This window comes from Homo sapiens, chromosome 13 (genome assembly GCF_000001405.40).
Source record: "Homo sapiens chromosome 13, GRCh38.p14 Primary Assembly".
In the NCBI taxonomy this organism is placed as follows: Eukaryota; Metazoa; Chordata; class Mammalia; order Primates; family Hominidae; genus Homo; species Homo sapiens.
Window position 1 is genome coordinate 29,321,323 of NC_000013.11, and position 26,110 is coordinate 29,347,432.

At 42.0% G+C, this 26,110-nt stretch overlaps 1 protein-coding gene across 12 annotated transcripts in view; it reads left to right on the forward strand.

Moving 5' to 3' along the window:
* The window catches only part of MTUS2 (microtubule associated scaffold protein 2), a 685,985-nt gene that overhangs the window by 501,360 nt on the left and 158,515 nt on the right, over nt 1-26,110 (forward strand). For all 12 annotated transcript variants that reach the window (XM_047430227.1, NM_001384605.1, XM_011535019.4 and 9 more), the window contains one exon: nt 3,291-3,389. In XM_047430227.1, coding sequence (XP_047286183.1) covers nt 3,291-3,389 — 99 coding nt within the window. The remainder of the gene's footprint in view (nt 1-3,290; nt 3,390-26,110) is intronic.

A 26,110-nucleotide genomic window follows, 5' to 3' on the forward strand; every position in this document is an offset into this window, starting at 1 on the left:
CAAAGACCACACTAGCATTTCTAGACACTCAGGGATCTCATTGAGTGAAACGAAAGCTTACCGTGTATTTAGAAGACATTTAGGCTGAGTCTAGATTGTAAAAAAAATGGCAAGAAGAACAGAAGGTCTTGATTCATCTCTGTAATTATCTGTGCTATCAAGAATTCCCAGACCATACAAGAGTTCTCCAGGTAGCCTTGTGTTCCTATGGTAAGTTTTGCCAGCAAAGGGAGGGTAAAACTTTCGATTTGAGTTATTCCTATAGGACTGCTTGGACTAGACTTATCTGTCCTTATCCTTTTATGGATCAGACAAATTATTTTCATTAGTGGTTTGGTTTCTCTCCTTTTTGCTTATTAGTTATTATACAAGTAATATGTGATGATTACAAAATATGGAACTAATGCAGAAGCATATTAAAATAAAAAGTAAAAGCTCCTAAATCCTACTGATTAGAAGTAACCATTATTAAAAGTTTGGTACCTTATCTTTCAGATATTTTTACTTATTTCTAAGCATAATACATATGACATTTTGTGTTATGAAAATGGGGTAATTCCATGCATGCTGTTCAACTAGCTTTTTAATTTATCATGGGCAGCTTTCCATGCCAGTACAATATAGAGCTATGACATCCTTTTTAATGGCTGCATAGTACTCCCTGGTTTGAATATGCCACAGTTCATATAACTTATGTTATATATGTTATAATTTATGTTTTTGCATACTTGTAGAAGTGTTTCCAAGAGAGATTTATAGAAGTGGAATTGCAGGGTCAAAACTATCAATATTTGCATTTTTGATAAAATTCAAATTGTGCTCCATGAAAGCTGAATGGAAAACACTGAAAGGCTAAATAAATAATTGTATTTTGTTTTCCTTTAAGCACAAAACATTAGGTTTAGTGCAGATTTGGGGACTTTAACATTTCCCTTCTCAGCTTTCAGGAGTCTTAGTGTCTTTCCATATTTGTTGATACCTAAAATCAAAGCCAAGTGAAGGAAAAGAATGGGGAGCTTAGCCATATAGTGGGTACCCTGAGGGGTACCCGTGACTTCAGCAGAGTGCAGTGGCTGGGCTTTCCATACCTGGAAGGTCCAGCCTTCTGTGAGCCCTGAAATGCCTGGGCAGACCTCCTGGAAAGAAGCCCGGAGGAGAGCAGGGGTTGGAGGGGTACACGCTTAGACCCTATCTGGGTCAAAGTTTGTGTTCTGGTGGGGACGGCAGACACTAAGCAAACAGGTGAGGATAGAATAGATTGTTGGGCAGTGACAAATGCTGTGAGGAAGAATGAAGCGGGTGAAGGGGAAACTGGCAGGTGATGAGAGGGCCACAGTAGTTGGAGCACCAGGCATGGTGAGGAGACCTTGCTGTGCTGAGACCTCCTGAATGGATGGATGAGCCATGCTTAAGGGCTAGAGGAAGAATATTCTGTGCAGAGGAACTCAAGCCACAGGAGGAAGCATGGCATGTTTGGGGACCAACAAGGCTGGCATTGTGGCTGGCAGATGTGGGCAGGGACAGTGACAGCAGTATGGCTGTGAGGTCATCTAGGGCTACACTATCTGATATGGTGGCACATATCAATTAAATGATTGCTTAACTAAATGAATCGATTAAATGATTGAGACTTCAGTGTCAGTAGGGCATGGGGCATGTTGGAAGAGCTGTTCTCAGACACTGTTTGTTGGGAATATGAATTAGTGGATCCTTTTGTTGACAATTGGACTGTGCATAGCAATACTGCAAATGAGCAGACTGAATCCAGCAAAAGCAATTCTGTGCATTTGTCCTCTGAAGATCCTGGTCTGTGTGTACAAAGAAACAAGTAGAAGCTATTTCAGTGGCTAAACTTGTAACAATCTAAATGCTCATCCATAAGACGATGGTGAACTGAATTACAGTATGTCTTTGTCCATTTGTATGATGTGGCTTTTTTTTTTTTGAGACAGAGTATCACTCTGTCTCCCAGGCTGGAGTGCAGTGGCGTGATCTCGGCTCACTGCAAGCGCCACCTCCTGGGTTCACGCCATTCTCCTGCCTCAGCCTCCCGTGTAGCTGGGACTACAGGTGCCCACCACCATGCCTGGCTAATTTTTTGTAATTTTTAGTAAAGACGGGGTTTCACCGTGTTAGCCAGGATTGTCTCGATCTCCTGACCTCGTGATCCGCCTGCCTCGGCCTCCCAAAGTGCTGGGATGACAGGCGTGAGCCACCACGCCCAGCCTGATATGGCTCTTTTTAAAAAAATCTGTAAATACACTGATAAGAAAAAGATCTCCAAAAATGTGGGTAGGTAAAAAGAAATTGCAATGTTTATTTCATATATTTATCTAATAGCTGTATTTGTATATGTGTGTATATTTATAAATACCTAGGAAAAAATCTGGGAGAATAAACACAAAATTGCTAGTAGCAGTTACCTCTGGAAGGAAGAGTGAGGTCTCAGGGTTTGGGGGTGAGCATGGGGGTGACATCCATGGCCTGCATCTAAGGAACAAAAGCAAGCTTTGTTTTTGAAATGACCTAACAGTGTGCTGAAGCCAAGGCAGGTTTGGGTTAATCTAGGTCTGTGTGATTTCGCTAATCTCACATCCACTGCTGTTTGACTTTCTGACAAACGTGACGTGAAGGTGAGCACTGTGCCCGGCACACAAAGGAGAAGCTGCACTGTGCCCTGGGTATTGCTGGACACAATATGAGGAGCGTCCACATGCTTTTGCTGGACCAGCTCTGGCAGCAAGTTCCACGAAGGCTTAGCTGCAGCCAAGAGAGCTAAAAGGCTCTCTAGGTCACCTCTGTGGACCCGCTGCATGGAAATTAATTAGAGTCAGACCATGTCCCCCGTGGCTTGGCTCCGGGTAATGCCGAAGTCATTAGCAGCTATGCGCAGCTACAGCGTCCTTCCCTGTCTTCTGAAAATTTGTTATGGCAGAGAGAGGCAGGCAGACTAAATTGGTGGCTGAGGATGTAAAATTTTAATTCCCAGATAGTTTGGTCAGGGTCATTGGGGTGGCAGTGACCTTCAGAGAAGGGGGCGTTTTTCATCAAATCAGAGACAGCAGTGTCCTTACTTCTCCCCTGACCACTCAAAACTAAATTCCCTTTCCTATAAAGAAGTGTGTCATTCATCAAGCACAGGGGGTGGTGACCATAGCAACAAATCACCCAAATATTTCTTTTGTTGATATGTTTGACTTTCTTGAAGCCACCCTTTCCACAACTTATGTTGCCATTTCAATTTTAAGTAGCTTACTTTCTACCTATTTCTCTTTTCCAACTATACACAGGAACAAAGAAAGATGCTCAGAAAGATCAAGATACGAATAAACCTGCTGTTTCATCTCCTAAGAGAGTAGCAGCTTCAACCACCAAGCTTCATTCACCAGGTATGTAAGAAATATGATGTGTTCCTTGGGGGAATGACTTGAACTTGGAATTTATCTTATTCAGATGTCATTAATGGAGCAATGCCAACCCATGTGATTTACTCAATTGTTCCAGAGCTTGACATACATATGCTGATGTTTTCTGACTCTAGATGAAATGAACCAGCTGTTCACATCATTTAATCTTAAAAAACAAGATGTTATGCTATGTTTCAGTGGGAGAATCTTCTCTGTGTAGGGGTATCTGCCATTCCAATAGCAAGTAGAAATAATTTACAATTGAAAACACTTTAAAGATCTAACCTTAAGAAATAATATTGTCTAAAAGGAAGAAGAACAGAGATAATGGGTATCAAATGATTTGTTAGTCTGTCAGCAAGGAAACCATTTATTTGCATTCAGATATGAATAAACTACATAAGGTTGCTTGAAAGTCAAAAATTGCTTATTATGAATATTCCTGGCCAGGCGTGGTGGCTCACGCCTGTAATCCCAGCACTTTGGGAGGCCAAGGCAGGTGGATCACTTGAGGTCAGGAGTTCCAGACCAGCCTAGCCAATATAGCGAAACCCTGTGTCTACTAAAAATATAAAAAATAGCTGGGTGTGATGGCTTTCGCCTGTAGTCCCAGCTACTTGGGAGGCTGAGGCAGGAGAATCACTTGAACTCGAGAGGTGGAGGTTGCAGTGAGCCGAGATCACGCCACCACACTCCAGCCTGGGTGACAGAGTGAGACTTCATCTCAAAAAAAAAAAAAAAGAAAAGAAGAAGAGGAAGAGGGAGGAGGAGGAGGAGGAGAAGGAGGAGGAGGAGGGAGGAAGGAGAAGAAAAGAAGAAGGAAGAAGAGGAAGAAGAAGAAGAGGAGGAGGAAGAGGAAGAAGAAGAAGAAGAAATCCTATTGTAAGACATTCATGCCATTGTAGAACAGTATGTAACACAACTTCAAAAGATTTTCTTTAAGCCCAAAAATGGTGGCCATAATAGCAGCTAATGTTTGAGCTCTAACTGCATGCCAGGTACTGCCCTGTGCTCTTTCAATATCTTAATTGATTTAATGTCCACAAAAACTCTGTGAGACAGGTTGTATTATTGCCCCTCTCTTTACATGTGAGGAAAGTGAGGCACAGACATTTCATTAATTTGCCCAAAGTCACAGGTGATAAGTAGTAGAGCCTTGGTTTTAACCTAAGCAATCTGTGTCCCGGACTTACATTGTTAGTTGCTACACTGTTAACCCAGCAGCATGGAGAATAGAGAACTTATTAAAATTGCTGATTAATTTAAAATTTATGGAAAATAGGTCAAAGCCGTAAATGTGAAGGACAGGAGACAAAGCCTGGTAATTGGGTGAGAGATCTGAGGACCCTGCATAAATCTGGAATTTCTAAAGGGTAACACCTTGGCCAGATGCACAAGGAAGGAAAAGAAAACTCACCCTGCGGGAGACTGACTGATTGCAGCTCCAGCTCTGAGGGAAGCCGAGGATGGGGAGCAAGCCCTCCCCCAGGAACCTTTGACCACAAGCCAGCCCCACTGCAGTTTAAGAGCTGGAGTCTGTGCTGCCACTGTGCTCTGAAAATCCAATTTAAAATGCTGCAGTGCTTATGGCTACTTAGTCGACTAAGATGTGAAATCACACACACAAGGAAACAAGCCACCATAAATAAGGTCCTTATATTCTAGAGAAAGAGTAAAAATAATATGTAATTTTAGACTTAACCATGTTAAAATATCTGTTAAAATTTCTAAGATGAGCAATAAAATACATATATATTGTTCTGAACCCTAGATGGGAAAATATTGGAATGAGGGGTTAAAAAAAATTCAATCAATATAAAGGAAGGAAAAAGAAGGAAAGAAGGAAGGCCAGGAGGGAGATGAGAGAAATTGAAAGAATACAATAAGATATTAGAAATGAACTCAAATATGTCATAATGACTTACATGAACTATACTCTCTAAACTAACTCAAAGATTTAGATTACCAGAGCCAGGCGTGGTGGCTCGTGCCTGTAATCCCAGCACTTTGGGAGGCTGAGGTGGGTGGATTACCTGAGGTCAGGAGTTCGACACCAGCCTGACCAACATGGTGAAACCCTGTCTCTGCTAAAATACAAAAATTAGCCAGGTGTGGTGGTGCGTGCCTGTAGTCCCAGCTACTTGGGAAGCTGAGGCAGGAGTATCATTTGAACCTGGGAGGCAGAGGTTGCAGTGAGCCAAGGTCACGCCACTACACTCCAGCCTCGGCAACAGACTGAGATTCCTTCTCAAAAAAGAAATAAAATAAAATAAAAATTTAAAAAATAAATTACTAGACTGTGTTCCCTTATTAAACAGTCTAAAGGTATGTTTCAAGTGCGTTTTTATGCTGTAAAATCTAGCTTTAGATCGTTTCCAAAGTACACTCCTAAAATATAAAAATATTAAAAATGTATAAGTAAAAGGATGGAAAATTAATATTTATACCAAAAAAACTAAACCGAAGAAAGTTTGTGGCATTATAGTTGTAAAACATATCTATTGTGGAATAATGAACAAATACTAAACTACCCTATGCTTAAAGTATAGAACTTGGTAAGTTTTGCCATGTGTACGCAGCTGTGAAACCATCATCCCATGCAAGATAACACACATGTCCACCAACCTTCCAAGTTTCCTGGGACCCCTTTGTCATACCACCTGCCTACCATTCTACACCCCCACCCCAAACCCCAGACAACCACTGATCTGTTCTGTCACTAGAGATTAGTTTGTATTTTCTAAAATTTTATATAAATGGAATCATTTAATATGTATGCTAGTTTTACTGGCTTCTTTCAACATAATTTAGATTCATCCATCTGGTAATAACCAATTCCATTTTACTAGTGCGTAGAATTCTATTATATAGATATCACTATTTATTTACTTGTTGATGGAAATTGGGGCTTTCCCCCCAGAACTTGGCTGTAATAAGTAAAGCCAAATCTTTGTACAAATGTACAAGATTTGTACAAATCTTGGTATGAACATCTGCTTCCATTTCTCTTGGGTAAATATCTAAGAATGAAATGGCTGGGTCATATGGTAGCTACATGTTTAACTTCTTAAAAATGCCAAACTGTTTTCCAAAGTGGTTGTACCATTTTACATTTTCAACAGTTGTATATGACAGTTCCAGTTTCTCCACATTCTTGCCAACCCTTAATATAATCAGTCTTTTTTTATAGACATTCTAATAGGTGTGTCATGATACCTCATTGTGGTTTTAATTTGCCTTTTGCTAATAACTGATGATGTTATAATGTTGACTATCTTTCTATGTGTTTGACAGCTGTATATGTTCTTTGATAAAATATCTATCCAAATATTTTTCCATTTTTTAAATTGGGTTGTTTTCTTATTGAATTTTGAGAGTTTTATATTCTGGATATAATTCTTTCTTATGTTATAAATTACTATAAATTTTATTAATTTACAAAAATAGTATTCATTTTCCATATATGAAAATACATTTGATAATAGAAAAATCCAAATTCTGCCAAAATATGTTTAAAGAGGTACATTTTGAGTCAGTATGAGTGACCATGGCCCAGGCCACACAATCTCAAGAAGTCCTGATAAAGTGTGCCTGAAGCAGCCAGATTACAGCTTGATTTTATACATTTCAGGGAGACATGAATTGCAGGAAAATCATAAATCAATATGAGGAAGGCATACATTGGTTTGGCCTTAAAAAGGCCAGACCTCTCAAAGCAGAGGGCTGGGGAGATCATAGGTGGGTTTTAGGGATTCTTTAGTTGACGGTTGGGATAGTTAAGCTAATGTCTAAAACTTGAAATCAGTAGAAAGGAATGTTTGAGTTAAGCTAAGGGGGTTGTGGAGACCAAGGTTCTTAGTATGTAAATGAAGCCTCATATGTGGCAGCCCTCAGAGAGAATAGATGGAAAATGTCTCTTTAAAGATTTCAAAGCTCTCAGGCTCTCAGTTAATCTCTCCAGATCTGAGAAAGCCTAGAAAGGGAGAGGTCTGACTACATTAATGGAACATTAATCTGATGCAAATTATTCCCACAAAAGACAGCTTTGCAGGGTCATTTTAGTCTGATGATCCTGTGGCAGCCGTTTCAAAACACGTTAAAGAAATATACTGTGGGATAAAATCTTTTTTACTTCTTTCAGCATCTGCTATCTGTCATGTTATGCTGTGTACCAGAGTCAGGTTGGAAAGCAAGCTACATTATGTAGGGTTCATAAAACCTGTCTGATGAGATTTTATGGTTTGTAGGGTGTGACTCCCCCAGGCCCTTAGATAGGAATTTGGGCAAGAGAAAAAGAAGGTCATAGTCCTCACATTTAAAAACTATTATTTTATGTTGCATGCAGCTCATTATATTTGTAAGTGGTAGATAATTACAGATTTCTATTATAATATTTTAATATACCCTTTTTTAAAATTATACTTTAAGTTCTGGGATACATGTAGAGGATGTGCAGGTTTGTTACATAGGTGTACACGTGCCATGGTGGTTTGCTGCACCCATGAACCCATTACCTGCATTAGGTATTTCTCCTAATGCTATCCCTCCCCTAGCCCCCCACCCCCTGACAGGCCCGGGCTTGTGATGTTCCCCTCCCTGTGCTCCCTGTGTCCATATGTTCTTGTTATTCAGCTCCCACTTATGAGTGAGAACATGTGGTATCTGGGTTTCTGTTCCTGTGTAAGTGTGCTGAGAATGATGGTTTCCAGCTCCATCCATGGCCCTGCAAAGGACATGAACTCATCCTTTTTATGGCTGCATAGTATTCCATGGTGTATATGTCTCACATTTTCTTTATCCAGTCTATCACTGATGGGTATTTGGGTTGATTCCAAGTCTTTGCTATTGTGAATAGTGCTGCAATAAACATACATGTGCATGTGTCTTTTTTTTTTTTTTTTTTGAGATGAAGTCTCACTCTGTTGCCAGGCTGGAGTGCAGTGGTGTGATCTTGGCTCACTGCAACCTGTGCCTCCTGGGTTCAAGCAATTCTCCTGCCTCAGCCTCCTGAGTAGCTGGGACTACAGGTGTGTGCCACCACACCTGGCTAATTTTTTTATTTTTAGTAGAGATGGGGTTTCACCATGTTGGCCAGGCTGATCTCAAACTCCTGACCTCAGGTGATCCACCCATCTCAGCCTCCCACAGTGCTGGGATTACAGGCGTGAGCCACTGCGCCTAGCTGCATGTGTCTTTATAATAGAATGATTGATAATTCTTTGGGTATATATCCAGTAATGGAATTGTTGGGTCAAATGGTATTTCTGGTTCTAGATCCTTGAGGAATCACCACATTGTCTTCCACAATGGTTGAACTAATTTACACTCCCACCAACAGTATAAAAGCGTTCCTATTTCTCCACATCCTCTCCAGCATCTGTTGTTTTCTGATTTTTTAATGATCGCCATTCTAACTGCTGTGAGATGGTATCTCATTGTGATTTTGATTTGCATTTCGCTAATGACCAGCTTTTTTTACATGTGTTTGTTGGCCACATAAATGTCTTCTTTTGAGAAGTGTCTGTTGATTTCCTTTGCCCACTTTTTGATGGGGTTGTTTGCTTTTTACTTTTAAATTTAAGTTCATTGGAGATTCTTGATATTAGCCTTCTGTGAGATGGATAGATTGCCAAAATTTTCTCCCATTCTGTTGGTTGCCTGTTCACTCTGATGCTAGTTTCTTTTGCTGTGCAGAAGATCTTTAGTTTAATTAGACCCCATTTGTCGATTTTGGCTTTTGTTGCCACAGCTTTTGGTGTTTTAGTCGTGAAGTTTGCCTGTGTCTAGGTCCTGAATATTATTGCCTGGGTTTTCTTTTAGGGTTTTTGTGGGTTTAGGTCTTATGTTTAAGTCTTTAATCCATCTTGAGTTAATATTTTTGTAAGATGTAAGGAAGGGGTCCAGTTTTCAGTTTTCTGCATATGGCGAGCCAGTTTTCCCAACACCATTTATTAAATAGGGAATCATTTCCCCATTGCTTGTTTTTGTCAGGGTTGTCAAAGATCAGATGGTTGTAGATGTGTGGCATTATTTCTGAGGCCTTTATTCTCTTCCATTGGTCTATATATCTGTTTTGGTACCAATACCATGCTGTTTTGGTTACTGTAGCATTATAGTATTGTTTGAAGTCAGGTAGCGTGATGCCTCCAGCTTTGTTCTTTTTGATTAGGATAATCTTGGCAATGCAGGCTCTTTTTTGGTTCCATATGAAATTTGAAGTAGTTTTTTTCTAATTATGTGAAGAAAGTCAATGGTAGCTTGATGGGGATAGCACTGAATCTATGAATTACTTTGGGCAGTATGGCCATTTTCATGATACTGATTCTTTCTGTCCATGAGCATGGAATGTTTTTCCATTTGTTTGTGTCCTCTCTTATTTCATTGGGCAGTGGTTTGTAGTTCTCCTTGAAGAGGTCCTTCACATCCCTTGTAAGTTGTCTTCCTAGGTACTTTTTTCTCTTTGTAGCAATTGTGAATGGGAGTTCACTCATGATTTGGCTCTCTGTTTGTCTAGTATTGGTGTATAGGAATGCTTGTGATTTTTGCACATTGATTGTGTATCCTGAGACTTTGGTGAAGTTGCTTATCAGCTTAAGGATATTTGGAGCTGAGACGATGGGGTTTTCTAAATATATAATCATGTAATCTGCAGAGACAGTTTGACTCCCTCTCTTCCTGTTCGAATATGCTTTATTTGTTTCTCTTGCCTGATTGCCCTGGCTAGAGCAATACTTCCAAATTTCATATGGAACCAAAAAAGAGCCACATAGCCAAGACAATCCTAAGCAAAAAGAACAAAGCTGGAGACATCACACTACCTGACTTCAAACTATATTACAAGGCTACAGTAACCTTCCAATACTATGTTGAATAGGAGTGGTGAGAGAGGGGATCCTTGTCTTGTGCCAGTTTTCAAAGGGAGTGCTTCCAGCTTTTGCCCATTCAGTGTGGTATTGGTTGTGGGTTTATCATAAATAGCTCATAGTATTTTGAGATATGTTCCATAAATACCTAGTTTATTGAGAGTTTTTAGCATGAAGCACTGTTGAATTTTATCAAAGGTCTTTTCTGCATTTATTGAGATAATCATGTGGTTTTTGTCATTGGTTCTGTTTATGTGATGGATTAGGTTTATTGATTTGCATATGTTGAACCAGCTTTGCATCCTAGGGATAAAGCCGAGTTGATCATGGTGGATAAGCTTTTTGATGTTCTATGGGGTTCAGTTTGCCAGTATTTTATTGAGGATTTTCTCGTTAATGTTCATCAGGGATATTGGCCTGAAATTTTCTTTTTTTGTTGTGTCTCTGACAGGTTTTGATATCAGGATGATGCTGGCCTCATAAAATGAGTTAGGGAGGAGTCCTTCTTTTTCTGTTGTTTGGAATAGTTTCAGAAGGAATGGTACCAGCTCCTCTTTGTACCTCAGGTAGAGTTTGGCTATGAATCCATCCGGTCCTGGGCCGTTTTTCGTTGGTAGGCTATTAATTACTGCCTCAATTTCAGAACTTGTTATTGATCTATTCAGGGATTCGACTTCTTCCTGGTTTAGTATTGGGAGGGTGTATGTGCCCAGGAATTTATCCATTTCTTCTAGATTTTCAAGTTTATTTGAGTAGAGGTGTTTATAGTATTCTCGGATGGTAGTTTGTATTTCTGTGGGATCAGTGGTGATATCCCCTTTATCATTTTTTATTGCGTCTATTTGATTCTTTCTTTTCTTCTTTATTAGTCTGGCTAGTGGTCTATCTAATTTGTTAATCTTTTCAAAAAACAAGCTCCTGGATTCATTGATTTTTTTGAAGGGTTTTTCGTATCTCTGTCTCCTTCAGTTCTGCTCTGATCTTAGTTATTTCTTGTCTTCTGCTAGCTTTTGAATTTGTTTGCTCTTGCTTCTCTAATTCTTTTTTTTTTTTTTTTTCGGACACAGAGTCTCGCTCAGTCGCCCAGGCTGGAGTGCAGTGGCGCGATCTCGGCTCACTGCAAGCTCCACCTCCTGGGTTCATGCCATTCTCCTGCCTCAGCCTCCCGAGTAGCTGGGACTACAGGCGCCCGCCACTACACCCGGCTAATTTTTTTGTATTTTTAGTAGAGACGGGGTTTCACTGTGTTAGCCAGGATGGTCTTGATCTCCTGACCTCGTGATCTGCGCGTCTCGGCCTCCCAAAGTGCTGGGATTACAGGCGTGAGCCACCGCGCCCGGCCTTCTCTAGTTCTTTTAATTGTGATGTTAGAGTGTCGATTTTAGATCTTTCCCGCTTTCTCCTGTGGGCATTTAGTGCTATAAATTTCCCTCTAAACACTGCTTTAGCTGTGTCCCAGAGATTCTGGTACGTTGTGTCTTTGTTCTCATTGGTTTCAAAGAACTTATTTATTTTTGCTTTAATTTCATTCCTTACCCAGTAGTCATTCAGGAGCAGGTTGTTCAATTTTTCTGTAGTTGTGCAGTTTTGAGTGAGTTTCTTTTCTTTTCTTTCTTTTTTTTGAGATACAGTGTCACTGTTGTTGCCCAGGCGGGATTGCAATGGTGTGATCTCAGCTGACTGTAACCTCCACCTCCTGGGTTCAAGTGATTCTCCTGCCTCAGCCTCCCAAGTAGTGGGGATTATAGGCATGCACCACCATGCCCGGTTAATTTTGTATTTTTAGTAGAGATGGGGTTTCTCCATGTTGGTCAGGCTGGTCTCTAACACCCTACCTCAGGTGATCCGCATGCCTTAGCCTCCCAAAGTGCTGGGATTACAGGCTTGAGCCACCGCAGCCGGCCTTGAGTGAGTTTCATAATCCTGAGTTCTAATTTGATTGCACTGTGGTCTGAGAGACTGTTTCTTAGGATTTACATTCTTTTGCATTTTCTGAGGAGTTTTTTACTTCCGATTATGTGGTCAATTATAGAATAAGTGTAATGTGGTGCTGAGAAGAATGTATATTCTGTTGATTTGGGGTGGAGAGTTCTGTAGATGACTATTAGGTCCGTTTGGTCCAGAGCTGAGTTCAAGTCCTGAATATCCGTGTTAATTTTCTGTCTCATTGATCTGTCTAATATTGACAGTGGGGTGTCAAAGTCTCCCACTATTATTTTTTGGGAGTCTAAGTCTTTTTGTAGGTCTCTAAGAACTTATTTTATGAAGCTGAGTGCTCCTGTATTGGGAGCATATGTATTTAGAATGGTTAGATCTTCTTGTTGCATTGATCCCGTTACCATTATATAATGCCCTTCTTTGCCTTTTTTGATCTTTGTTGGTTTAAAGTCTGTTTTATCAGAGACTAGGATTGCAACCCCTGTTTTTTTGTTTTGTTTTGTTTTGTTTTTGCTTTCCATTTGCTTGGTAAATATTCCTCCATCCCTGTGTTTTGAGCCTATGTGTGTCTTTGCACGTGAGATGGGTCTCCTGAATACAGGACACCAAGAGTCTTGACTCTTTATCTAATTTGCCAGTCTGTGTCTTTTAACTGGGGCATTTAGCCCGTTTACATTTAAGGTTAATATTATTATGTGTGAATTTGATCCTGTCATTATGATGCTAGCTGGTTATTCTGCCATTTAGTTGATGCAGTTTCTTCATGGTGTCAATGGTCTTTACAATTTGGTATGTTTTTGCAGTTGCTGGTACCGGTTATTCCTTTCCATGTTTAATGCTTCCTTCAGGAGCTCTTGTAAGGCAGGCCTGGTGGTGACAAAATCTCTCAGTATTTGCTTGTCTGTAAAGGATTTTATTTCCCCTTCACTTTTGAAGCTTAGTTTGGCTGGATATGAAATTCTGGAAAATATTTTCTTTAAGCATGTTGAATATTGGCCCACACTCTCTTCTGGCTGGTAGTGTTTCTGCAGAGAGATCTGCTGTTATTCTGATGGGCTTCCCTTTGTGGGTAACCTGACTTTTGTCTGTGGCTGCTACTAACATTTTTTCCTTCATTTCAACCTTGATGAATCTGCTAATTATGTGTCTTAGGGGTGCTCTTCTCGAGGAGTATCTTAGTGGTGTTCTCTATATCTTCTGAATTTGAATGTTGGCCTGTGTTGTGGGAAGTCAGGGACCCCGAACGGAGGGACTGGCTGAAGCCACGGCAGAAGAACATAAATTGTGAAGATTTCGTGGATATTTATCACTTCCCCAATCAATACTCTTGTGATTTCCTATGCCTGTCTTTACTTTAATCTCTTAATCCTGTCATCTTCGTAAGCTCAGGAGGGTGTATGTTGCCTCAGGACCCTGTGATGATGGCGTTAACTGCACAAACTGTAGAGCATGTGTGTTTGAACAATATCAAATCTGGGCACCTTAAGAACAGGATAACAGCAATGTTCAGGGAACAAGGGAGATAACCTTAAAGTCTGGCTGCCTGTGGGCCAGGCGGAACAGAGCCATATTTCTCTTCTTTCAAAAGCAAATAGGAGAAATATCGCTGAATTCTTTTTCTCAGCAAGGAACATCCCTGAGAAAGAGAATGCGTCCCTAAGGAGAGATCTCTAAAATGGCTGCTTTGGAGATGACCATATCTTTTACGGTCGTAGATAAGGGATGAAATAAGCCCCGGTCTCCCATAGTGCTCCCAGGCTTATTAGGACGAGGAAATTCCTGCCTAATAAATTTTGGTCAGACCGGTTGTCTGCTCTCAAACCCTGTCTCCTGATAAGATGTTATCAGTGACAATGTGTGCCCGAAACTTCATTAGCAATTTTAATTTTACCCTGGTCCTGTGATCTTGCCCTGCCTCCATTTGCCTTGTGGTATTTTATTACCTTGTGAAGCATGTGATCTCTGTGACCCACACCCTATTCGTACACTCCTTCCCCTTTTGAAAATCACTAATAAAAACTTGCTGGTTTTGCGGCTTGGGGGGCATCATGGAACCTGCCAACATGTGATATCTCCCCCAGACACCCAGCTTTAAAATTTCTCTTTTTGTACTCTTTCCCTTTATTTCTCAGACCGGCCAACACTTAGGGAAAATAGAAAAGAACATATGTGAATTATCGGGGGCGGGTTCCCCCAATCGGCCTGTCTTGCTAGGTTGAGGAAGTTCTGCTAGATAATATCCTGAAGAGTGTTTTCCAACTTGGTTCCTTTCTCACCATCACTTTCAGGTACAGTCAAACATAGGTTTGGTCTTTTCATGTAGTCCCATATTTCTTGGCAGCTTTGTTCATTCCTTTTCATTCTTTTTTCTCTAATCTTTTCTTCACCCTCTACTTCATTAAGTTGATCTTCAATCTCTGATATCCTTTTTCCCGCTTGATGGATTTGGCTATTGAAACTTGTGTGTTTCATGAAGTTCTTGTGCTGTATTTTTCAGCTCCGTCAGGTCATTTATGTTCTTCTCTAAACTGGTTATTCTAGTTAGCAATTCCTCTAACCTTTGTTCAAGGTTCTTAGATTCCTTACCTTGCCTTCTGAAGCCTACTTCTGTCAGTTCGTCGAACTCATTCTCCATCCAGTTTGGTTCCCTTGCTGGCCAGGAGTTGTAATCCTTTGGAGGAGAAAAGGCATTCTGGTTTTTGGAATTTTCAGCCTTTTTGTGCTAGTTTTTCCTCATCTTCATAGATTTATCTACCTTTGGTCTTTGATGTTGGTGACCTTCCGATGGGGTTTTTGTGTGGACGTCCTTTTTGTTGATGTTATGCTATTCCTTTCTGTTGTTAGTTTTCCTTCTAACATTCAGGCCCCTCTGCTGCAGGTCCACTAGAGTTTGCTGGAGGTCCACTCCAGACCCTGCTTGCCTGGGTATCACGAGCGGAGGCTGCAGAACAGCAAAAATTGCTGCCTGTTCCTTCCTCTGGAAGCTTTGTCCCGAAAGGGCACCCGCCGGACGCCAGCTGGAGCTTTCCTGTATGAGATGTTTATTGACCCCTGCTGGGAGGTATCTCCCAGTACAGGAGGCATGGGGGTCAGGGACCCACTTGAGGCAGTCTGTTCCTTAGCTGAGCTCCAGCGCTGTGCTGGGAAATCCACTGCTCTCTTCAGAGCTGGCAGGAAGGAACAACATTTAAGTCTGCTGAAGCTGCACCCACACCTGCCCCTTTCCCCAGATGCTCTGTTTCAAGGAGATGGGAATTCTATCTATAAGCCCCTGATTGTGGTCACTACCTTTCTTTCAGAATTCCCTGCCCAGAGAGGAGGAATCTAGAGAGGCAGTCTGGCTACAGCGGCTTTGCAGCACTGAGGTGGGCTCTGCCCAGTTCAAACCTCCCAGCAGCTTTGTTTACACTGTGAGGGGAAAACCACCTACTCAAGCCTCAGTAATGGCAGATGCCCCTTCCCCCACCAAGCTCAAGGGTCCCAGGTTGACTTCAGAGTGCTGTGCTGGCAGCGAGAATTTCAAGCCAGTGGATCTTAGCTTGCTGGGCTCTGTGGGGATGGGTTCTGCTGAGCTAGACCACTTGGCTCCCTGGCTTCAGCCCCCTTTCCAGGGGGGTGAACAGTTCTCTCTCACTGGTGATCCAGACACCACTGGCATATGAAAAAAAAAAAACTCCTGCAACTAGCTCTGTGTCTACCCGAATGGCCACCCAGTTTTGTGCTTGAAACCCAGGCCCCTGGTGGTATAGGCACCCAAGGGAATCTCCTGGTCTGTGGGTTGTGAAGACCATGGGAAAAGCGCAGTTTCTGGCCCAAATGCACCATTCCTCATGGTACAGTCCCTCATGGCTTCTGTTGGCTAGGGGAGGGAGTTCTTAGACCCCTAGCACTTCCCAGAGGAGGCAGTGCCCCACCCTGCTTTGTCTCACCCTCCATGGGCTGCACCCACTGTCTAACCAGTCCCAATGAGATGAGCCATGTACCTCAGTTGGAAATACAAAAATCACCCGCCTTCTGCGTTGATCTCGCTGGGTGCTGCAGACCAGAGCTGTTTTATTTATTTTTTATTTTTCTATTTTTTTTTTTTTGAGATGGGGGTCTCACTCGGTCACCCAGACTGGAGTGCAGTGGCACAATTTTGGCTCATTGCAATCTCTGCCTCCCGGGTTCAAGTGATTCTCCTGCCTGAGCTTCCTGAGTAGCTAGGACTACAGGTGCCTGCCACCACCCCTGGCTAATTTTTTGTTTGTTTGTTTGTTTTGGTTTTTTTTTTTTTGAGACAGAGTCTCGCTCTGTTGCCTGGGCTGGAGTACATTGGCACAATCTCGGCTCACTGCAACTTCTGCCTCCCAGGTTCAAGCAATTCTCCTGCCTCAGCCTCCCAAGTAGCTGGGACTACAGGTGTGTGTCACTATGCCCTGCTAATTTTTTTTTTTTTTAGTAGAGACAGGGTTTCACCATGTTGGTTGGCCAGGATGGTCTCGATCTCTTGACCTCGTGATTTGCCCACCTCAGCCTCCCAAAGTGCTGGGATTACAGGTGTGAGCCACTGTGCCTGGCCATGACCGGACCATCTTGCCAGCCACCCTACCTTTTCTTTCTGTAATTCTTATATGAGCTAAATGATACACAGTTTTCCCCGATAGTCTAGGGCTTGTTTCACATTCTCCTAACAGTACATTTTGAAGAGGTTATGTTCTTAATTTTAACTAAGTTTAATTCATGATTTTTTTCTTTTGTACACTGTTTTTGGTATTATCTAAAAAATATTTGCAGCCAGAGGCGGTGGCTCACACCTGTAATCCCAGCACTTTGGGAGGCCCAGGCAGATGGATTGCCTGAGCTCAGGAATTGAAGACCAGCCTGGGCAACATGGTGAAACCCAGTCTCTATTAAAATACAAAAAAAAATTAGCTGGGCGTGGCGGCGTGAGCCTGTAATCCCAGTTAATTGGGAGGCTGAGGCAGGAGAATCGCTTGAACCGGGGAGGCGGAGGTTGCAGTGAGCTGAGATAATGCCATTGCACTACAGCCTGGGCGACAGAGCAAGACTCCATCTCAGAAAACAAAAAAAAACAAAGTTGCATAACCCAAAGTCACAAAAATGTAGGTTTTACATTTAAGTCTATGATCCACTTGAGTTAGTTTTTGTATATAGTGTGAGGTGTGGCTTGAATTTTTCTTTTCTTGCTTAAGGATTTGCAACTGATTTCTATAATTTTTTTAATAAAGACACTATTATTTAAAAGAACAAATATTTAACTATGCAAACTGTGAAAGTGGAGGATATGCCTGCCTCCTGTTCCCAGGGAGAAGGCAGAAGTGGGTGGGCAGGGGAAAGGTAAGGGTTTTGAGAGCAACACGGTCTCTTCAGTGTGGGCTCTGCAGGCTAAGGAGAGGCGGGGCTGAGGCTTGCAGAATGCTCAGGTGAAGCAGTGGGAAGTGCCCTGGTGGGGACAGTGGCTCCTGTGGGGGTAAAACAAGGGTCAATAGGATGAGGCAGTCTGGAGGCTCAGGAGAAGGTGGCAGGGCCCTGACTCTAGGCTGGGCTGCAGGCTGGGTGTGCGCAGAGGTACATGGTCCTCCCGGGGCGGCTCCTTGGGGTGTAGGAAGGCCCAATACAGACATTGTTGCACCTACTCCTAGAGCTCCCAAGGTGGCTCTTCAACTGGGCTGTGGCCGGCGTACTTCCTGCAGTAGGGCAGGCAGCAGGCTGAGGGAAGGCTGCTTCTCCTGGAAGACACTGCTGCTGGAGAGTGGAGGCTTCTTCTGAGCGGCCCAGGCCTGGGCACAAAGGCGGGGACCTCTCCATGTCTCCTGATGGGCTTGAAAGCTGATAGCCTGGGTGATGGGATCTGCTTGCTACGCTTGGTGTCTGGGACCTCAAACCAGAGTGGCTCATCGAATTTCCTTTTTCCCTTGCTGTGCTGGCTGAGGGCCTACAGCATGGTCTCCCTGGCACAGGGATCTGGGGCCTGGGGGGAGGTGGCGCTTATACAGGCTCCCCTCTGTGCTCCGGCGGGGCGATTTTCACTGTCACCAGGCTGCGGACGGGCTGGGGGGTGCCGGGCCTTCCAAAGCCACTGCTTCATGTAGGCCAGGTGAGCCTCAGAAAAGTCCGGCCCAGTGATGCTCAGGAGCGGTGGCCTGTTGGGAAAGTGCCTCCAGGCCTCAGGGACCATCTCTCTCTGGATACGGGCATAGTCCCAGTTGGGAGGAGCGGTGAGGAGGGGCCGGGTGCGGACCCAGCGCTTCCCATTGACGTAGACGACTTTGCAGCCATCCTTGACCTGGGAGCGGAGAAGGGGCCTGGACCGCAAGGCCCGGTGTTTCTGGGATTGGGGCGGCACCCTGGCCCGGGGCGGCACTATGGTCCGGGGCCAGCCCAGGTACCAGCTCAAGTAGTTGCCCATGACAGCAATGCAGTAGTCGGGACGTTCTCTTAGAAATTCAGCTTCCAGAAGTTTCCGAAGTCTGCGGCCGGGGCCAAGTGTGCTGAGCTTGGTGACCGTTGGAATCAGGACGCCAGAAAGCGCGCAAAGCATCGCAAGCTGGCACCCTCTGGCCATAGGGTTCCGCACGGGCCAGGCCGGTGCCTCGCGGAATTCGGGACATCACGGGGTGCAGCTGCAGCGGGGGAGGGCAGCACCCAGATGATCTGGGGGACGAGGGAAGCTCAAGCCTCCCTCCTTCCCACTGATGGTCCCAGTCACTTGGCTCTGGGCAGAGGGGCCTAGCAGCTGCCTCTACTTTTGTGCCTGACCTTTAAAGGTAGAAGATAGAATTTCTGCCAGGTCCTGAAAACTGCAGATGCCTGTTGACAGAAGGGTGCTGTTTTTGATCAGTGTGAAAATGAACACAATACACTTGGATACTCTTTCAAGGAAAAACAAATCATTTACTCATATCAGTAAAGGTGATGTGTGTTTCATTCTTCTAGGATGGATGTTAATGTCACTTTTTGCAATTTTGCTCTTAAGAAAATGGAGTCATCAGGTTTTGTTTTAGCACAGGCAATGTTGATTTTTTGTGGATTTCCTGTGATTTCCAGCCTTCGTACATTCATGAATAGATTATCTGTCTCTGAACACTAATGTCATCTCTCTTTTTTTGCTTTTATTTTTTAAAATTATTTCAGTAGTTTTTGGGGGAAAGGTGATGTTTGGTTATATGTATAAGTTCTTTAGTGGTGATTTCTGAGGTCTTGGTGCACCCATTACTCTAGCAGTGTACGTTGCATGCAATGTGTAGTCTTTCATCCCTCACTCACTTCCCACTCATTCCCCCAAGTCCCCAAAGTGCATTGAATCATTCTTATGCCTTTGCATCCTCATAGCTTAGCTCCCACTTATGAGTGAGAACATACAATGTTTAGTTTTCCATTCCTAAGTTACTTCACTTAGAATAATGGTCTCCACCTTCATCTAGGTTGCTGTGAATGCCATTATTTCTTTTCTTTTTTAAGGCTGATTAGTATTTCATAGTACGTTTGTACCACATTTTCTTTATCCACTCGTTAATTGATGGGCATTTGGGCTGATTCCATATTTTTGCAATTGTGAATTCTGCTGCTCTACACATGTGTGTGCAAGTATCTTTTCTGTAAAATGAATTCTTTTCCTCTGGGTAGATACCCAGTAGTGGGATTGCTGGATTAAATGGTAGTTCTGTTTTTAGTTCTTTAAGGAGTCTCCACACTGTTTTCCATAGTGGTTTGTACTAGTTTACATTCCCACCAGCAGTATACAAGTGTTCCCTTTTCACAACATCCCCACCAACATCTATTGTTTTTAGATTTTTTTGATTATGGCCATTCTTGCAGGAGTAAGGTGGTTATCGCATTGTGGCTTTGATTTGCATCTCCCTGATGATTAATGATGATGAGCATTTTTTCATGTTTGTTGGCAATTTGTATAATTGAGAATTGTCTATTCATGTCTTTAGCCCACTTTTTGATGGGATTATTTTTTTCTTGCTGATTTGTTTGAGTTTCTCATAGATTCTGGATGTTAGTCCTTTGTCAGATGCATAGTTTGCAAAGATTTTCTCCCACTCTGAGGGATGTCTGTTCACTCTGCTGATTATTGCATTTACTGTGCAGAAGCTTTTTAGTTGAATTAAGTCCCAGCTATTTATCTCTCTTTTTATTGCATTTGCTTTTGGGTTCGTGGTCATAAAATCCTTGCCAAAGCCAGTGTCTACAAGGGTTTTTCTGATGTTATCTTCTAGAATTTTTATGGTTTCTTTAATTTTTGTAGATTTAAATCTTTGATCCATCTTGAGTTGATTTTCTTGTATAAGGTGAGAGATGAGGATCCAGTTTCATTCTTCTGCATGCAGCTTGCCAATTATCTCAGCACTATTTGTTGAATAGGGTGTCCTTTCTCCACTTTATGTTTTTGTTTGTGTTGTTGAAAATCAGTTGACTGTAGGTATTAGGCTTTATTTCTCGGTTCTATATTCTGTTCCATTGGTCTATGAGCTTATTTTCATATGAGTACCATGCTGTTTTGGTGACTGTATCCTTAAAGTATAGTTTGAAGTCAGGTGATGTGATGCCTCCAGATTTGTTCTTTTTGCTTAGCCTTGCTTTGGCTATGTGGACTCTTTTTTGGTTCTATATGAATTTTAGAATTGTTTTTTTCTAGTTCTGTGAAGAATGATGGTGGTATTTTGATGGGAATTGCATTGAATTTGTAGATTGCTTTTGGCAGTGTGGTCATTTTCACAATATTGATTCTACCCATCCATGAGCATGGCATGGGTTTCCATTTGTTTGTGTCATCTGTTATTTTTTTTGGCAGTGTTTTATAGTTTTCTTTGTAGAGGTCTTTCACTCCTTAATTAGGTGTAATATATTTCCAAGTGTTTTTTTGTTTGTTTTGCAGCTATTGTAAAAGGGGTTGAGTTCTTGATTTGATTGTCAGTTTGGTTGCTGTTGTTGTATAGCAGTGCTACTGATTTGTGTATATTGATTTTGTATTCTGAAATATTGCTGAATTCATGTGTCAGTTCTAGGAGCTTTTAGGATGAGGCTTTAGGGTTTTCTAGGTATACCATTATGTCATTGGTGAACAGCGACAGTTTGACTTTCTCTTTACTGATTTGGATGCCCTTTATTTCTTTCTCTTGTCTGATTACTCTGGCTAGGACTTCTAGTACTATGTTGAATAGAAGTGGTGAAAGTGGGCATCCTTGACTTGTTCCAGTTCTCAGAGGGAATGCTTTCAGCTTTCCCCCATTCAGTATAATGTTGGCTGTGGGATTGTCATAGATGGCTTTTATTACCTTAAAGTATGTCCTTTCTGTGCTGATTTTGCTGAGGGTTTTAATCATAAAGGGATGGTGGATTTTGTCAAATGCTTTTTCTGTGTCTATTGAGATGATCATGTTATTTTTGTTTTTAATTCTGTTTATATGGTGTATCACATTTATTGACTTGCATATGTTCAACCATCCCTGCATCTATAGTATGAAACCCACTTGATCATGGTGGATTACCTTTTTTATATGCTGTTGGATTCCATTAACTAGTATTTTGTTGAGGATTTTTACATCTGTGTTCGTCAGGGAAATTGGTCTGTAATTTTCTTTTTTTGTGATGTTCTTTCCTGGTTTTAGTATTAGGGTGATAGTGGCTTCATAGAATGATTTAGGGAGGATTCCCTCTTTGTCTTTTGAATTAGTGTCAATAGGATTGGTACCAGTTCTTCTTTGAACGTCTCATAGAATTCAACTGGGAACTCATCTGGTCCTAGACTTTTTCTTGTTGGCAATTTTTTATTATCATTTCAATCTTGCTGCTTATTACTGGTCTGTTTGGAGTTATAATTTCTTCCTGGTTTAATCTAGGAAGGTTGTATATTTCCAGGAATTTTTCCATCTCCTCTAGGTTTTCTACTATGTGCATGTAAAGGTGTTTATAGTAGCCTGGAATGATCTTTTGTATCTCTGTGGTATCAGTTATAGTATCTCCTGTTTTGTTTCTAATCAGGTTTATTTGGATCTTCCCTCTTCTTTTCTTGGTTCATCTTGCTAATGGTCTATCAATTTTGTTTATCTTTTCAAAGAACCAGCTGTTTCATTTATCTTTTGTATTATTTTGTCTTTCAATTTTATTTAGTTCTGCTCTGATCTTTGTTATTTCTTCTCTTCTGCTGGATTTCAGTTTGGTTTGTTTTGTTTCTCTAGTTTCTCGAGGTATGACCTTAGATTGTCTGTTTGTCCTCTTTCAGCTTTTTGATGCAGACATTTAATGCTCCAAACTTTCTTTCCTTGTAGCACTGCTTTTGTTGTATCCCAAAGGTTTTAATAAGTTGTATCACTGTTATCATTTGGTTCAAAGAATTTTTAAATTTCCTTCTTGATTTCATTGTTGACCCAATGATCATTCAAGAGCAGGTTATTTAATTTCCATGTATTTGCATGCTTTTGAGGGTTCCTTTTGGAGTTGAGTTCCAGTTTTATTCCACTGTGGTTTGAAAGAGTACTTGATGTAATTTCAATTTTCTGAAATTTATTGAGACTTCTTTTGTGGCCTATCATGTGGTCTATCTTGTAGAATGTTCCATGTGCTGATGAATGTACATTCTGCAGTTGTTGGGTAGAATGTTCTGTAAATATCTGTTAAGTACATTTTTTCTAGGGTATAGTGTAAGTCCATTGTGCCTTTGTTGACTTTCTGTCTTGATGACCTGTCTAGTGCTGTCAGTGGGTACTGAAGTCTCCCGCTGTTATTGTGCTGCCATCTTACCTCATTTTTTTAGGTCTAATAGTAAATGTTTTATAAATTTGGGAGCTCCAGTGTTAGGTGTATATACATTTAGGGTTGTGATATTTTCCTGTTGGACTAGTCCTTTTATCATTACATAATGTTCCTCTTTGTCTTTTTTAACATTTTGCTTTAAAGTCTGTTTTGTCTGATATAACAATAGCTACTCCGGCTCATTTTTGGTGTCCATTTGCATGGAATGTCTTTTTCCACCCCTCTACCTTAAGTTTATGTGAGTCCTTATGTGTTGTTAGATGAGTCTCTTGAAGAGAGCAGATACTTGGTTGATGAATTCTTATCCATTCTGCCATTCTGTATCATTTAAGTGGAACATTTAGGCCATTAACATTCAATGTCAATATTGAGGTGTGAGGTACTATTCTACTCATTATGCAGGTTGTTGCCTGAATACCTTGTTGTTGTTTTTTTGTCATTCTGTTATTGTTTTATACATCCTGTGAGATTTATGCTTTAAGGTGGTTCTATTTTGATGTATTTTGAGAATTTGTTTCAAGATTTATAACTCCCTTTAGCAATCTTGTAGTTCTGGCCTGGTAGTGGCAAATTCTCTCAACATTTGTTTGTATGAAAAAATTCTGTGTCTTTCATTTATGAAGCATAGTTTCATTGGATACAAAACTCATGGCTGACAATTGTTTTGTTTAAGGAGGCTAAAGGTAGGACCCCAATCCCTTCTGGCTTGTAGGGTTTCTGCTGAAAAATTCGCTGTTAATCTGATAGATGTTCCTTTATAAATTACTTGATACTTTTTCCTCACAACTTTTAAGATTCTTTCCTTTGTCTTCACCTTAGATAACCTGATGACTAGGTGCCTAGGCAATGATCTTTTGCGATAAATTTCCCGGGTGTTCTTTGAGCTTCTTGTGTTTGGCTATCTAGATCTCTAGCAAGGCCAGAGAAGTTTTCCTTGATTATTCCCTCAAATGTGTTTTCCAAACTTCCAGATGTCTTTCCTTTCTCAGAAACACCAATTATTGTTACATTTGGTCATTTAACATAATCCCAAACTTCTTGGAGGCTTTGTTCATTTTTTAAAATTCTTTTTTCTTTGTCTTTGTTGGAATGGGTTAATTCAAAAGCCTTGCCTTCGAGCTCTGAATTCCTTTCTTCTGCTTGTTTGATTCTATTGGTGACAGTTTCCAGTGTATTTTGCATTTCTCTAAGTGTGTCCTTCATTTTCAGAAGTTGTGATTGTTTTTTATTTATTTATGCTGTTTCTCTGGAGATTTTTTCATCCATGTCCTATAACATTGTTTTTTAAGTTGGTATTCACCTTTCTCTGGTGCCTCCATGTGTGGCTTCATACTCAAACTTCTGAATTATTTTTCTGGCAATTCAGAGATTTCTTCTTGGTTTGGCTCAATTGCTAGTGAGATAGTGTGATCTCTTGGGGATGTTAAAGAATCTTGTTTTGTCATATTACTGGAATTGTTTTTCTGGTTCTTTCTCATTTGGGTAGCCTATGTCAGAGGGAAGATTTGGGGCTGAAGGGCTATTGTTCAGATTCTTCTGTCCCACAGGGTGCTCCCTTGATGTGGTGTTCTCCTCCCTTCCCCTAGGGGTGGGGCTTCCTGAGAGCCGAACTGTAGTTATTGTTATATTTTTTCTGGGTCTAGCCACCTAGCTGAGCTACCAGGCTCCAGGCTGGTACTGGGGAGTATCTGCAAAGAGTCCTCTGATGTCATCTGTCTTCAGGTCTGTCAGCCGTGAGTAACGAGCACCTCCTCCAGTGGAGATAGCAGGGGAGTGAAATGGACTCAGAGAGGGTCCTTGGTTGTAGTTTTTAGTGCACTGGCTTAGTGTTGGTTGGCCGCCAGCCAGGAGGTGGTGCTTTCAAGAGAGCCTCAGCTGCAGTAGTGTAGGGAGGATACAAGCTTGCCCTAATGCCACCTGGGTGGTAAGTATTTGGTTTCTTAGGTGGTGGACAGGGCCATAGAGCTCCCAAGAGATGGTGTTCTTTGTCTTCAGCTACCAGGGTGGGTAGAGAAAGACCATCAGGTGGGGGCAGATTTAGGCATGTCTGGGCTCAGACTCTCCTTGGTAGAGGGGGCTTCCTGTGGCTGTTGTGGAGGATGAGGATGTGGTTTCAGGCCAATGGAGTTATGTTCCCAGGGGGATTATGGCTGCCTCTGCTGGGTCACGCAGGTTGCCAGGGGACTGGGGGAAAGCTGGCAGTGACAGGCCTTACCCAATGCCCATACAGCCAGCAACGCCAGTCTCACTCCCACCATGTCCCCCCAACAGCACGAGAGGGACATGCCCCAGGCTACAAGCCTCCCTGCTGAGAAAGGTTTCACGTCTCCCCACCTGCAGCAGCTTCTGTGCGCCTGTCTGTACTCCCAGATCACCTCCTCTCCAGACTCTGTCCAGGAAACTGCACAAATCGTTTCAAAGTTCAGCTGGAATTTTCCTTCTCCCTGTGGTCTTTCCCCAATTCCACTGGCACCCCTCCCCAAGAACTCCTGAGAGACAAAAGCAGAAATGGCTTCCCTGGGGTCTGAGAGTGCCCACGGAACTCTTCCCACTGCTTCCCCTACCCCTATATTTTGCTCAGCTCTCTAAATTTGTCTTAGCTCCCTATAAGGTCAAATCCTTCTCCCGTGATCTGGTTCTTCAGGCTCCCCAGTGAGGATGTGTGTTTGGGGGCAGTCGTTCCCCTTTCACACTTTAGACACTCATAGTTTGTCAGTGTGTCATGGAGCCCGCAGCCACAAGCCACCTCTTTCAAAGGGTCCGTGGATTCTCTCAGCTTTCCTGGTGTGTTCTTCAGTAGTTCTTGGAGCCAGAGTTCACAGTGTGTCTCCACAAGCTGCTCTGTCCATCTGAATGGGAGCCTCAAGTTAGTCCTGCCTCCTGTCTGCCATTTTCCCTCACTTTCTGATTTCTATTCTTTTTACTCTTCTTCTGCTTATACTGGGTTTGATTAGTTGATGTCATTGGTTGGAGGTCTTTCTTTCATTGTGTATGTGTTTAGTACATAAATTTCTCTGTATATGTTGTAGTTACAGTCCACAAATTTTGACACACTGGGTTTTCATCTTCATTGAGTTCAAAATATTTTCAGATTTCCCTTTTTGATTTCTTCTTTGGTCCATGGTTATTTGGAAGTGT